The sequence below is a fragment of the Homo sapiens genome, chromosome 6 (genome assembly GCF_000001405.40).
Source record: "Homo sapiens chromosome 6, GRCh38.p14 Primary Assembly".
Lineage (NCBI taxonomy): Eukaryota > Metazoa > Chordata > Mammalia > Primates > Hominidae > Homo > Homo sapiens.
The window spans coordinates 167,491,145-167,505,267 of NC_000006.12; the positions used below are offsets into that span (position 1 = coordinate 167,491,145).

Genomic DNA, 14,123 nt, shown 5'->3' on the forward strand with positions numbered 1-14,123 from the left:
TACAGCGTTAAACAACAAATTTATACTCTGACAGTTCTAGAGATCCAAAATCTGAAATCAAGAAGATAGCAGGGTTGCGTTCCTTCCAGAGGCTCTAGGGGAGAATACACTTCCTTGCTTTTTCCAGCTTCTAGAAGCTCCCCACATGCCTTGGCTCAAGAGCCTTCCTCACATCACCCCAGCCCCTTGATCCACTGTCACATCTGTTTCTTTCATTCATTTGCCCTCCCCGGATAACCCAGATATCCATCTCAAGACCTTTATCTTAATCACATGGGCAAAGTCCTTTTACCATGAACTGTAATACAATCACAGGCTCAGGTATTAGGGTGTTGATCTCTTTGGAGGCATTATCTGCCCATCACACACTGTGTTATAATTGTCTGTTTACTTATCCTTTGCTATTTATTCCTCATCATGTTCCCAACATCTAACCGAGTAGCCAGCACACAGAACGGGCTCAGCAAATAGCTGCTGACCAGCAGAATGGGCGGCTGAGTCCATATTCCCTCCTTATCAGCCTTGGGAAACTGTGAGCCTGTTCTGGTGTTCTGCATAGGTACAGTGATTAGTTTCTCCTGAGCAGAGGACTGATGATAGTTGCTCTGATGTATACCAGCAGATTCATGGGGATCCTGGTAAGGCGTATTTGAATTTTGGCTTTAGAAAAGTCAAGGGATGGGTTTTCCACAGGTACAACCACAAAGCAAATGCTCGTCACCCCAGAATGCTCCCTCCTGACTCATGACGAGACAGACCAGGCAGACAGGAGATAAAGAGCTCTCTCCTCCTGTCCTCTGGACGCCCTTGGCTTCCAAAGCCGTGCTTTATAGATACACGCTTTATGTTGGCTGAAGTCAGCAGTTCGTCTTCTTTACAAAAGAATATTTGTCTTTGCCTCTTCTCTCTTCATTCTTCCTCCTTATCCCTGGCACTTGCCAAGCGGGTGCCAGCGTTTGCCGCCTCTCTCTGAGACCAGCCCTCCTTGGGCGGCTGCCTCCCCTTGCCCCATCTCAAACAAAGACACAGCAGCCGAGAAGACAGCCGGGCGGGTGGAGTGGGAAGAAAGCAAGTTTCGTTGGTTTTTCCAGGATTAACTCAGGGCTGGCTGGGTTGAGTAACTGAGGCCAGGTCATGGGTAGATCTGGCCGAGGGACTTCCGAGGTTTTGTTCCTGGGTGTGTCTCTCAGGCAGTGGGAGGATGGTGGCGCCGTCACCAAGCCTTGCAGCAGGAAGAGGAAGCCCCCACGAGGGAGGATAATGGGGAATTAAAGTCCCTAGATCCGCCTGGGAGGCTTGGGGACCTTGCCTGATGGGAAAACTTTGGTGTAATTTTTTAAAAAACAGAAAACAGGATTTTGTTTTTTCTTGCTCTTTTTAAATGAAAACATCAGTGTTTTTCATCAGGAGCACAACGGGCGTTTTCGGCAGGACAGGTCATCTGCAGACCCTGTGCTTGTACTGCAGGAAGCCTGGTCTCGCTGGGGCCTCTCAGGTGCCGGCAGCACCAGACTATTGCAAAAACTGAGGCACCCCAGTAGATGTTACTAAATGTGCCTAAAGGGAGCAGACTGCCCGCCCCTGAAAACCTGAACTCGGGTTATTTAAAAGGCTTTTTATTCACTGTTTGTAAAAACATAATGTCCTCTAGAAAGCCTGTTTTTCTGATAAGGCATGAAGAGGGAGGATATTAATTCGCATATTGATTGACTACAGCATTGAGGTGTCCCTTCTCCCCCCGGGGGATCGGCTTGCTGGGACAGCTCTGGGAGTCCCCGAGTAGTCACCTTTGGATACCATGTTGGCAGAATCTCAGGTCAGGATGGAGGAGCCTCTGATAGGCATTGAGTGGCCTTTAAATGACCCCATGCTGCTTCAAAGCCCACAGGACTAGTGTTTGCTTTTTGAAAAAATGACTTTCCTACATGTTCTCAGTAAAGAATAGAATCCACACACACTCCCATGCGCACACACTCCCATGCACACACACTCCCATGCACACACTCCCATGCACGCACTCCCATGCACACACACTCCCATGCACACACTCCATGCACACAGTCCCATGCACACACTCCATGCACACAGTCCCATGCACACACACTCCATGCACACAGTCCCATGCACACACACTCCATGCACAAAGTCCCATGCATGCACTCCCATGCACACACACTCCATGCACACACACTCCATGCACACAGTCCCATGCACACACATTCCCATGCACACAGTCCCATGCACGCACTCCCATGCACACACACTCCATGCACACACTCCCATGCACACACACTCCCATGCACACACACTCCATGCACACACTCACATGCACACACACTCCATGCACACAGTCCCATGCACACACTCCCACGCACACACACTCCCATGCACACACACTCCTATGCACACAGTCCCATGCACACACTCCCATGCACACACAGTCCCATGCACACACACTCACATGCACACAGTCCCATGCACACACAGTCCCATGCACACACTCCCATGCACACACTCTCATGCACACAAACATCCATGCACACAAACATCCTCGCACACACCCTCCCATGCACACACATTTTAGAAACGTGACCAGTTCCTTAGGGTGCTCTCCTTTAAAAGGGCAACAGGAAGGCTGGGGGTCAGTTGTGCAGCCTATACTTACCCTCTTCTGTGACCAAGAGCTCGGGGGTCCCCAGCTAACCTCCCCTACTGCTTTAGATATATGCATTTTTACTCATCTTTGATATTTTGGAAAAGACAACATGTTCCATGCAAGTCCCTTTGAATGCTGCCCCTGCAAGCCAGCTCAGAGGGAACACGCCCCTCCACACCCCCCGCACTAGGCCTTGGGTGCGGCCCGTCCGCCTCTCACAGAGCAGATGGCTGTGGCTCCCTCCAAGGCAGAGGTCACCCCGCCTGACCAGAACCGCTTGTGTTCTCTGGAGTGAATGGGACATGAGCGTAACAGGGGCGGGGAAGGCGGGAGAAGGGTTGAGGGGAATGTGTGGGATCTGCCTCCATCGAGCTGCAGGCGCGGGTCTGAGCCCTGATAGCAAGTGTGAGGGCTGGTGCTGACGCAGGGCTCCCCCGAGACCCAGTCGGGTGTGGAGCTGCCTGGGAGGAGGCCTGAGGGGGTGGGGGAGGCTAAGAACAGGAGAAGAAGCAGCTTTTTCTCATGATGGAGCGGGAGCTAAGAACAGGAGAAGCAGCTTTTCACATGGTGGAGTGGCGGGGCGAAGAACAGAAGAAGCGGCTTTTTCACATGATGGGGGGAGCTAAGAACAGTAGAAGCAGCTTTTCACATGATGGAGTAGGGGTGGCGAAGAACAGAAGCAGCAGCTTTTTCACGTGATGGGCCGCGGTGCTGGATTTTGTGCCAACCTGACTGGGCTGCGGGTGAAACATTATCCCGGGTGTGTCCAGAGGGTGTTTTGGGCGAGATCAGCATTTGACTCGCTGCACTAAGTAAAGTGGGTGTCCTCCCTGATGTGTGTGTGTGTGAGGGCTCATCCAGCAGCAGAAACCTCAACAGAACACGCACCAGGAACCCCCTGACCCCCGGAGGAGAGGGGAGTTCTTCCTGCCTCATAGCCTTCGAAGTGGGACCTCGGCTTTTTTCCTGCTTTTGAACTCGAGCAGAATCTTAAGTTCTTCTGGATCTCAAGCTGCTCCTCCAGACTGAAGGACCCCCGCGCCTCTTCGGGTCACCAGCTGAACCTCACGCAACAGATCCTGCGACGCACCAGCTACGGGGATAGTGGAAGCCGTTCCTCCCAATCAGTGTGTATCTGCCTCTCCCAGTGGTTCTGTCGCTCTGGAGAACCCTGACCAGTACAGCAGTGAGGTCCCATCATGCAGTTTCATGGGAAACAGAGGTGACTGGGCCGGAATGTGTCACACACACACACTCACACACACACATACATACACACACGCATACACACTTACATACACATACACACGCACACAGAGAGACACACATACACATATACACACTCACACACACAAACACGCTTATACCCAGATTTACACACTCACACGCGTACACTTACACACATTTATACACACATACACACATGCTTATACGTACACACTTACACACAAACACTATACACACATACACACACTTATACATATACACACATACGTTTATACACACACATATACATACACACACGATACACACATACACATACACACTCACACAGAGACACGCATACACATGTACACACACACAGTTATACAGAGATTTACACACACAAATACACCTACACACATGCTTATACACACACACTTATACACAAACACATTTATACACACATACACACACTGATACATACACACACACACACATACACTTATACACACACACACACACATCTGGGTCCACCAGGAAGAGTTGAGAAATTCTTCAAGGGTGCTAAGAAGCTGATGGGGACCGTGGCATTAGCTTGGAACACTTGTCATTTGGACCCAAAGTCACATCCACTGCTGAGCCCGAGGCTGCAGGAACAGTGGACCTGGGTGAGCAGAAGGCGAGGCGGAGTCCAGATCTTTCCCAGGAAAACATCACCTGGCGTTGGAAATGAAACGCAGCCCTTCAGCGGGCTCACCTACAATCAGGCACTCCAGCATTAGCTGTTTAGAGCCAGGCTACCATTTCCTGGATTCTCTTCTGTTTTCCATACCCGGAGCTTTCTTAGTTTTTTCTCTGGGTTTCATGAATTCATCAGTGGCCAGGCATTGTTTTATCAGATGTGCCAAACGCTGATAAGGACACAGTTCGCCCTTTCTATTTGCATTTGAATTCTTTCTCTGGTCTGACTTCTTGAGCCAGCAGGATTTATTTCTGCCCTGGCATCTGGTGAGCCGCCTCCCGGCGGCTGCTGCCTTCCTGGGTACATTTCAGTCTCCAGGCTTTTCTAGCCACAGGGACCCTGGGGACATCTCCAAGGCAAGTCCTAATATAGCTCATTTCATCCCTCTGTCAATGTCCTCCACGCCTTGAATAATTATCATATGAAAACCTTTGAGAGCAGAGCACCCCTGATTCTGATTTTCCCCAGCTAGATAGATTCCCACGCCGTCTGTCTTTGAGCCAGCTCTGGGCCAGGGAGCCAGGCAGAATTTGCAGAGAGGTTCTCAGTCACCCACCCTGCCCCTGAACTCAACAATGAGACCATCCAGCCGGGGCAGCTGCGTTCAGTCTCTGGCCACCTCCCATCTCCTGCCGCCACTGTCTTGCCATTGTTTATAGTGTGACACTCTCCACAATGAATCTAATCCATAGAAAACAGCACCCAGCTACATACAGAATTTTACAAATAAATCTACAGATGCCCCTACCATGACATGAAGGAAAAATAAAATGAAAATAACTAATGAAAAAAATCCTGTGTTTATGTGTTTAGTATGTAAATTCTCAAGCATGATTACCCTAGAGGAAAGGGCTCTAATTTTATCCGAAACCCCTGAGTGAAGATGTGTTTCAGAATTCCTGTTTCCAAGGACTTTTTCATGGAAATGGCCTCCTTACATTGCACATTCGATCAACTCTGTTAGGACCTGGAGCAGCATCTTCTAATCAAACACATTAATGGTTCCCAAGCACAATGTGTAATCACACAGAGCAGGATTTTAGAAATTGGCTATTAATAGCCTCACACGAGTATAGCACAGACTCCCCTTGGGTTGGGCATGCAGCCCCCGGCCCTGGGACCTGGCCCCAAGCCCCCGACCACCACCTCATGGAAGCACGTGCTCTGACCTGCCGTGCCTCGGAGTGACAGGGCTGGCCCACACAGCAGTGCCACCTGGGTGGAGTAGCACCTGGAGCCCCACCTAAGCCCACATAGGCCCTGTTCCCATTTCTCTTCTGGGTGGCCCCTCCGACCCTGTAGTCCATGTATGGGGCTGACCAACTCTGGGACTTGCCCCTGGGGGTTGTTCTGGGGCCAATGGCCGAGCCCTGTTCCAGGCTGACAGCCTGGCCCAGGATGGCTCCCACTGGTAGGCACAGCATGTCTCCTACACAATCGTGTGAGACTGGGCTGCCAGAATGGGGCTGACGTGCTGGTTGTAGGTGATTCAAATAGTTTAAATAATCAGGGCTCTTCAGAAGAGGCTTTGCCTGGGGCCTTGCACACCCCAGTCGTGTCCTGTTGTTTCAGGTCAGATTTTGCCACTAAATGGATGAAGAAAAGCACTTTGGGTTTTCAAGGCTGTTTAGAATTCTGAGCTACAGGTAAGGAATTATAGATCAATAGACACAAGCTTTTATTTGTGTACACCATCTTGTAAGTGTGAGAATTACAAGTGTGAGAGTACAGGGTACCGGCACCTGAGGACTGCAGGGCCATTGACATCAGCGGCGTGAGTACAGGGTACCGGCACCTGAGGACTGCAGGGCCATTGACATCAGCGGCGTGATTTCCCAAGATGGTAAATAATTCCCAGAAAATCCTCAAACAAAACAAAGTTCAATCTTTATTCTAGTTACATTCTCGGAACATTCAGTGTACGCTAAAGCCATGCAAAAAATTCTTGATGTTTACATACAAAATGGAGTCAGGTTCCAGTGCAAAGAATTACAAGCCAACTTCTAGCTCCCTAGGGACCCGGTGAGACATCTGGAAGGTATGAAGGATATAAGTCAGAGCCAGCTTGATATGATTTATCTGTGTCCCCACCCAAATCTCATCTTGATTATAGTTCCCATAGTCCCATGTCGTGGGGGGAGCCTGGTGGGAAGGAATTGAATCATGGGGGTGGTTTCCCCCATGCTGCTGTTGTCGTGATAGTGAGTGAGTTCTCACGACATCTGGTGGTTTTATAAGAGGCTTTTTCCCCTTTGCTCGGCACTTCTCCTTCCTGCCATCATGTGAAGAAGGACGAGTTTGCTTCCCCTTCCGCCATGATTGTCAGTTTGCTGAGCCCTCCCCAGCCATGCTGAACTGTGAGTCAATTAAACCTCTTTCCTGTAAAAATTACCCAGTTTCAGGCAGTCCTTTATAGCAGTGTGGAATAGACTAATACACAGCTCTTCTCTATTAGGAGATGTCCCCACTCTGTGGGACAAGCACCCCAGCCTCCATCCACTAAATGATGAATGTGCCCCCCAATCATCTCCGCAGCCTGGCACAGCCGCACAAATTCCCACCCAGCTCCTTATGGTGGTTCTGCCCCTTCCCCCTCCTCACCTGCACGGCAGAGCCCCTCACAAGATCCTCCCACGACGGCTGGGCTGGAGACCAGTGACCAAATACCAAGCACCCGTGCACTGGCCCTGTTAGGAGTTAAACTGTGTCTCCCTAAAAAGGCATGTTGGAGTCCTAAGTTACCCCAGAATGTGACTGTGTGTGAAAACCTGGCCTTAATGAGGAAATCAAGTTAAAAATGAGGTCATTCAGGCAGGCCCTAATCTAATACCATCAAAGGCCTCATGAGAAGGGGGAGTTTGGACGCAGAGACAGGTGCAGAGGGAAGGTGACGTGAAAGGGGCCAGGGAGAAGCCACAGCCCAGTGGGGAGCCTGGAGCAGACCCTGCCTCCAAGCCTCTGAGGGGGCCAGCCCTCCGCTCTTGGATTTGGGACCAAGAGAGAGAATTCCTTTTGTTAGATCAGCCTGCGGCTCTCTGTTAAGCATCCTGGGGACACCCCTGCAGCCCATCCACCCTCCCCACTGACCTCCCCTCCCAGCACTCTCCTGGCCCTCCCACCTCTGGCTGCAGGTGCTGTGCACATTCACTGTTCTCTCCGAAGCTCCTGCTGAGGAGACAGGGCAGCACCAGGCCCCCCGTCTGTTCCTGGTCCAAGAGAAGAGCTTGCACCCGGCCAGCAGGTCCTGGGCAGGGCGCTCCCAGGAACACGCGAACGAGCACCTCACAGAAGCAACAAGTGAGATCCAATGCTAAGACTTCTTTGTTAATAATAATAATAATAATACTTTTATAGAAAATGTGTAAGTTAAAAAAATAGGTAAACATTTATAAAGATGATTTTATTCCATTATCTGTCACTAAGAAATAATGTGTCATAATGGTGATCCTTGGACTATCGTCTCCTGCACAAAGTATCAGAGTCCAAGCTGCCCACGTTGCATACACATTGACCAGTCAATCACCAGTCTGCACTTTATCCTTTTCATGGTCGCTGTGTACGGCCTTCCAATTTCAGCAGGTATCTGGGATATTATTTGTATAATATAATGAGCCAAATTCTGAGCGTTCTTTGTGCACTTATTTCATCTAAGCTTCAGTCCACATTCCCACTGCAGCCGCCCTTTCCTGCAGGCATCTATCTGTCTGTGTTGAGCCTTCCTGGCACAGGGAAGGGCAGTGCTGTCTTAGGTTGGCTTCCTCCTTCCGGGTTCTGCAAGCCTCAGCTGTCACAGCCATTGCCAAACTGGACCCTGGATTACCTAGGGAGTGGTTATCATTTCCCACAGCAGAGGAGGAGACAAACCCCAGTCACAGCAGGTGACACAGGCCACAGAGGCCTCCAGCTGCCATAGGTGGGACAAAACCTTCTCACTTCTGAGTGTCACCCAGACCTGTAATCATATGTGCTCCCAAAGATATTACCAGACATCCTGGCTTTCCTATTTCCTGCTTTACACCCCATTCCCCCAGAGTGAAGCAAACTCACTCCTCTGCTGATATGACGGCGGCTCTTTACTGCACACTGACAGGCAGTGGGAAGGGGTGCTCCTGATTCTTCAGATTATTTCTGGGAGTTTTCCTCCAGAAACTGCTTACAGACCATCGAATGGAAAGATTGCACCTTGCGCTAAGCATCCCTCCCAAAGATCAGGTTAGCATCACGGACAAGATCGTAAACAGCCTCTCTTACATCACTGCCAAGCAAGTCAGCAAATATTCTTGAATTTTACTTAGTACCAGTTATGGGCTGGGAAGAGAGGGAGGTATAAAGATGGCCCTGCCCACAAGGGGCCCAGAGGCCCTGAGGAAAGGGCTGGCAATGTCACGGGTGCTACAGGGGTGCCGTGCCCCTGCTGGAGGATGTTCTGGCAGCTCATGGCAGTCACGACCACTCGAATTCTCCTATCAGATTCTCTGTGATGGGAAAGCATAGAATTTGGAAATAAAAGACTCACACCAACACTTTTATTCAAGGCCGGGATAATAATCTGTTGCTTATTTTAAAGTGCTATATCTTGAATCTTGTGCCCAGTGGTGTTGGTGTTGGTGTTGGTGGCCATTATGTCAAAGGCAGACACAGGCATGGCAGACAGAAGCAAAAAGCCCAAGGTTATTTAATAGTCACAGAGGCCTGGTTTTATTTTTGAATTATCCCATGATGTTTTTCCAAAGACTTCCAGCCTCACCTTACAATGCAGGTAATTCTCCTTTCAGAGGGCCCCTCCCTCATCACCAGCAACTGAAGACCACTTGATTTACGAATTCTCTAAGGGTTTATTGAGCACCTAATGAGTGTCAGGTACAACGGTACAACGGTAAGCCTGCAAATACAAATATCGTGAAGCCCAGTTTCTGTTTCCAACAAGCCAAGACCCACAGAATTGAAAGACAGTAGTGACCCAGTTGGCACCTGCATCTATGGGCACTGAGCAATGAGAAATGTGCCCACATCAGCCGAAGCAACCCAGGAGGCCTTCCCAGAGGAGAGGAGCTCTGAGCTGAGGTCTGCAATGGAAGGAGGTGCTGCCGGCACACAGGCGCATGGAAGGCGTCCCAAGAAGAGGGAGGAGGCCGCCCAGCTCACCCCTAGAGCCTGGGCTTTCAAGTGGAAACAGAAGTTGGAGAAGAACCAGTTCTCAGAGCTGCAGGGTGGCACAATAGGAGAAGGGAGTGGGGTGGGGAAACTGAGATACAGGATGCCCCTCCTCAAAGCCCTGCCCCTCCCCAGTCTCCAGAGTCACCCACACTAGCCCTGGGCCCGCACAGCCCCCGCCCATGGCAAACCTCAGTCTCACAGCTGAGACTGAGGATGAGGCCGACACCACCTCCCACGGCCTCCACGGCCAGGCCCATGGTCACCACAGAGCCTGGGGGCCGAAGTACTCAGCTGCTGGACTCCGGCCACAGCCCTCCTGCCCTGGGTGCTGACTCCAGCCCCAGCCCTCTTGCCCCAGCTGGCACTGGTGCTCTCCTCCCAGACAGTGCGGTGCTATCTAAGGGAGATCCAAGACAGAACACAATCCTCTTTTTTAATTCAAAGAACACAAATTTGAGACCTCATATAAGCCAAAAATGTGTCTCCAGTGATTCCTGTCGGTGGGCAGTGGTGGGTGGAATAAAGCAACGAGAGGAGGGCTACATTCAGCTGAGCTGGCTGGGTCCCTTTAGTGGCTCATCCTGCCCTCCTTCTGGGCTCCTGTGTGCTCACACCTTGGGCACCACCAGTGCTTAGGCTTTGGAGAGAGCAGGCGTTGTCCCCCCAAGCTCGGGAGCAACATGAACGAGACCTCCCATGTGGGAACCAACCCATGCATTGAGTTAGATGTGCTGGCTGAGCAGAGCTCACTATGTTGAGGGAGAGAAGGCCACGTGCACCGCAGACATCTGACCCATGGAGGAGAGAATTCGGGAAGAGACAAGCCATGGGGGGTTTGATAAGACTGGAACCTCGGAAGTGACCTTCTGTTGGCCCCACCGGGAGGAAGGAGCTTTCCGCAGTGCCTGTGGCTTGGTCTGGAAGTTGCATCTCAGCAAAGCCCCCTGAGGTGTGGTTGTCAGCCAGCACATTTGACCCAGCGCATGGGTTGGTTCCAAATCCACATGACTCTGTAGCCCGCAGGTCCACAGGCTCCTCGTCATGAGCCAACTCCCTGCATTGGATGCAGCTGCAGGGAGCATTGTGTTGGGAAGAGATCTAGGACAAGGCACCGAGACACATTGGTGATGTTTGCTGTGAACAGGGAAGGCAGCGTGGGAAATTTCGTCAGGCACACGTCTGAAGTGACACTGGGATCTCACAATCAGAACCCAGACTACGCAATCAATTCGTCTAGCGTTGACTCAGAAACAGTTACTGCCACACGCCGGGGTTCCCAGCACCTTCGCAGGAGTGCAGCAGGAGGCAGCAGAGAACAGAATCCAGGTGCCCAGATTCTCATCTGCACATCTGCCAATGGGTGAGGGAGGGCCACAGACTGGAGGGAAGGCAGAAGAGAACGTCTCCATGATTTCAACCAGCCGGTCCCCATCTCTCTAGCAGTCACCAAGCAGTGAGGCCCCGCTCACGTCGACTGACACGTACGTGCTTCTTGGGCATTCTTCTGTGCTCCATGCAAGATAATTGCTGTTTTTTTTTCTTTAGTCTTTATATCCTTTCAACTATCTGGAAGTGTCCTACAAATAAGTGTCCCCCTGGGCAGAACTCCCAAATAGTCACCCCTTTGCCCCCACTCCCCTCCACCCTGGGCCTGCCCTGACCCAACTCCCATGCTCCTGCTCGAAGCCACTAACAAGCCCAAGAGGATATTTCAAGCAGCCAGGAAATGTGTCCACACTGGGAAGCAGCACCGGAGGCTTCATTCGAGTCCATGTGGATGCACGAGCGCTGCCTCCCTTTCAGCCTCCCACTGTTTGCTGGAGCATGGTGTTCACGGAGCTAATCAGAGTCCTCTGCCATCTGGAGCCCACAGGTGCCACAGGTGTTAAAAAGTGGATTTACAGACTCTGCCATTGTCCAGGGCAAGCGCTGGCCTCCAGCTCCTGCTTTGACAAAGATTTGGCAAATGTTTTAGAATGTTTAACTCCTGGGTGGTGCTTAAAGAACTGGTTGGAGAAACAAGTGATTCAAGATGCAGGTGTTCTGAGAGCAGTAGGAACAGTACAGGAGGGAGAGCCAGAGGATGGCTGGCGTCAACCTCGGAGCCCCACTTCCTCCAAGTCTCTTTCCTCACCTACAAAATGAGGATGGCCAGCCTTATTGGGAAAACTCAAATATCATAAGTAAGTACTTCTTCAATTCTTATCACCAAACTGCTCTACAAATAAATATGGGGGCTGTCGGCCCGGGCTGCACAGGAGCTGGTTTAATTCCAGCATCCCCTGGATTGATCAGTCGCATCAATGTGAGTGACAAGCCCACCAGCTTTGCTCCCTGTCCATGAAGATACGTCTCGTTCCCCCTTTTCTTTTGTATAACCCACAGGCTTCTTACAATGAGTTACCACCTCATGTTCTGAAAATTACAGCTTCTGAAGGACAACTTCTTAGAAGCAAGATTTGTCACCAAGAAAAGAATGTGTTGTTGATAAAAACTATACTCCCAAGGATTGGTGGCCACCTGCCTGAGCAGTTTCCAAGTTTACCCCAAGGAGGCCCCAGAAGGCTCTTGATAGTTGTGCTAGTTAAGGGTAAAGGGATGCTCTCATATTCTTTACTTTGAGATGAAGAATTTAAACTCAGACTAAGTAATTGTCAGGTGGGCGTATGCCCTGCTAAGAGAAGAGGTGGGCTGAAAACAATCAGCATCATCCATCTCCTTGTACCACACATGAAGCCTATAAGCACCAATCCCTCCCTGGGGTGGGGGCCGAGCAGGGGATGCAGCACAGCACAGCCTGGACCTCACCATGCCACCCATCTCCAGCCACTGCCTCCCTCCATCCCTTCTCTCCCGGCTTATCTCTGTGAACTCGCATCTTCCAATGTCATTTATGTTGCTGCTTTTGGCACTTCTCTTCCAACCCCCTCTGCTCCCTGAGCCACCCTCTACTCTAGTGCCTTATTTCTGAATGCAAAGCACAAAAACCCAGGAGCGGCTGCCTCAAGCTAGATGGGAATTCCTTGTGCCATCCTACCACAGACATATCTTGGTTTGCTCAGGGTTGAATTGACTTTTCTGAGACATTGGTTTGGCCATGTCATAAATCTCCCTTTCTTGAAAGATTCTATCACACGGATATCTTTGGGCCTCAGCACTGAACCAGGTGCTTGGTTTGGTGATGGAGGCAGAGAGATCTAGATGATAGCTCCTGCCTGCAGAAAGTTCACCGTGGGGCAGGGTCTAATCTTGGATATACAGGGTCTACTTTCAGGAGGAAGCTGATTCCAGGACCTTCCAACCAAGTGGACAGAAGCAATGACATAGGCAGCCTCTCATGGAAGAAAACAAAACAGGAAACGCTGTGCTATGTTTGGAGACATGGAAACAAACAGCTGGGAGGCTCCTTTAGAAGTAGTGGACCTCAGTAGCAGACAATCAGGAGAATTGCTCATCCCAGCAGCACGAAGATGAGCAGAGGATGATGGGAGCCAGGTGGCGGGAGGGGTGGGGGTGGGGGCTTGGCTTGAAGAGCAGCAGTGTGGCATTTTTGAGGTGACGGTCCAGTAAAGACCCAAAGGAATTGGAGAAGCAGGCCGTGAAAACATCTGGAGGAAGCGTGTTTCAGGAAGAGGAAGAGAATAAAGGCCTTTAGAGGGTCAGGGAGTCAGGACTGCTCAGAAGGCCAAGGTCACATCCACTCTTGTCTCATTAAGCAGAGCTGGTCGTACAGCCAAGTTGAATCAACAAGGCAGGGTCCATGCTTCTCTCATGGAGATGTTGGGGCCAAGACACAAGGCAGGGGTGGGGAACCATAATCTTATGACTCAGAGGAAGTGAACATTTGGGAACAACTTCCATCTGCCATTGCAGATGGCTTGGGCTGCCGCCTAGACAGGTGGTACAGAAGCAAATGGTTGGAGGTAGAAGCTCAGGAGAAAGGTTGGGCCTGGGTTCTAAATGAGCAACCTGTAAATGGCATTTACAGCCATAGACCAGATGAGATCACCCAGGGAGGAAAAAAAAGAGAAAAGGCCTTCAGAGAAGATATTGAGAATATTGGAAATCATCATTGAAGATCTAAAAAAAAAAAATAGAAGTGGTTGGTAGGTGAGAAATTAGGTAAAATTAGAGCCAAGCTTCTCACACTGCAGTGCGTCAGAGCACTGGGAAGGCCGTTACCCAACAGAGGCTCAGTCTCACCCCCAGAGCTTCTGGTTCTGTGGGTCTGGAGTGAGGCCCAGGTGATGCTGACAATGCTGGTGGGTCTGAGGATCTCGGATATGGGGCGAGTCAGACGGTGTCGGCCAATGTCAGAGGGTTGGACTGCAGTGGGTTTGGGGTCCTCAGGGACCAGGCAGAACT

At 50.7% G+C, this 14,123-nt stretch overlaps 1 annotated feature.

Annotated features, from left to right (window-relative positions):
• Positions 1,729-2,636: an enhancer, noted in NCBI's record as "H3K4me1 hESC enhancer chr6:167905065-167905972 (GRCh37/hg19 assembly coordinates)". NCBI's record gives its function as "activates a minimal SCP1, AML or CMV promoter by ChIP-STARR-seq in primed H9 embryonic stem cells {active_cell/tissue: H9 hESC(primed)}" and the evidence as "EXISTENCE:reporter gene assay evidence [ECO:0000049][PMID:30033119]".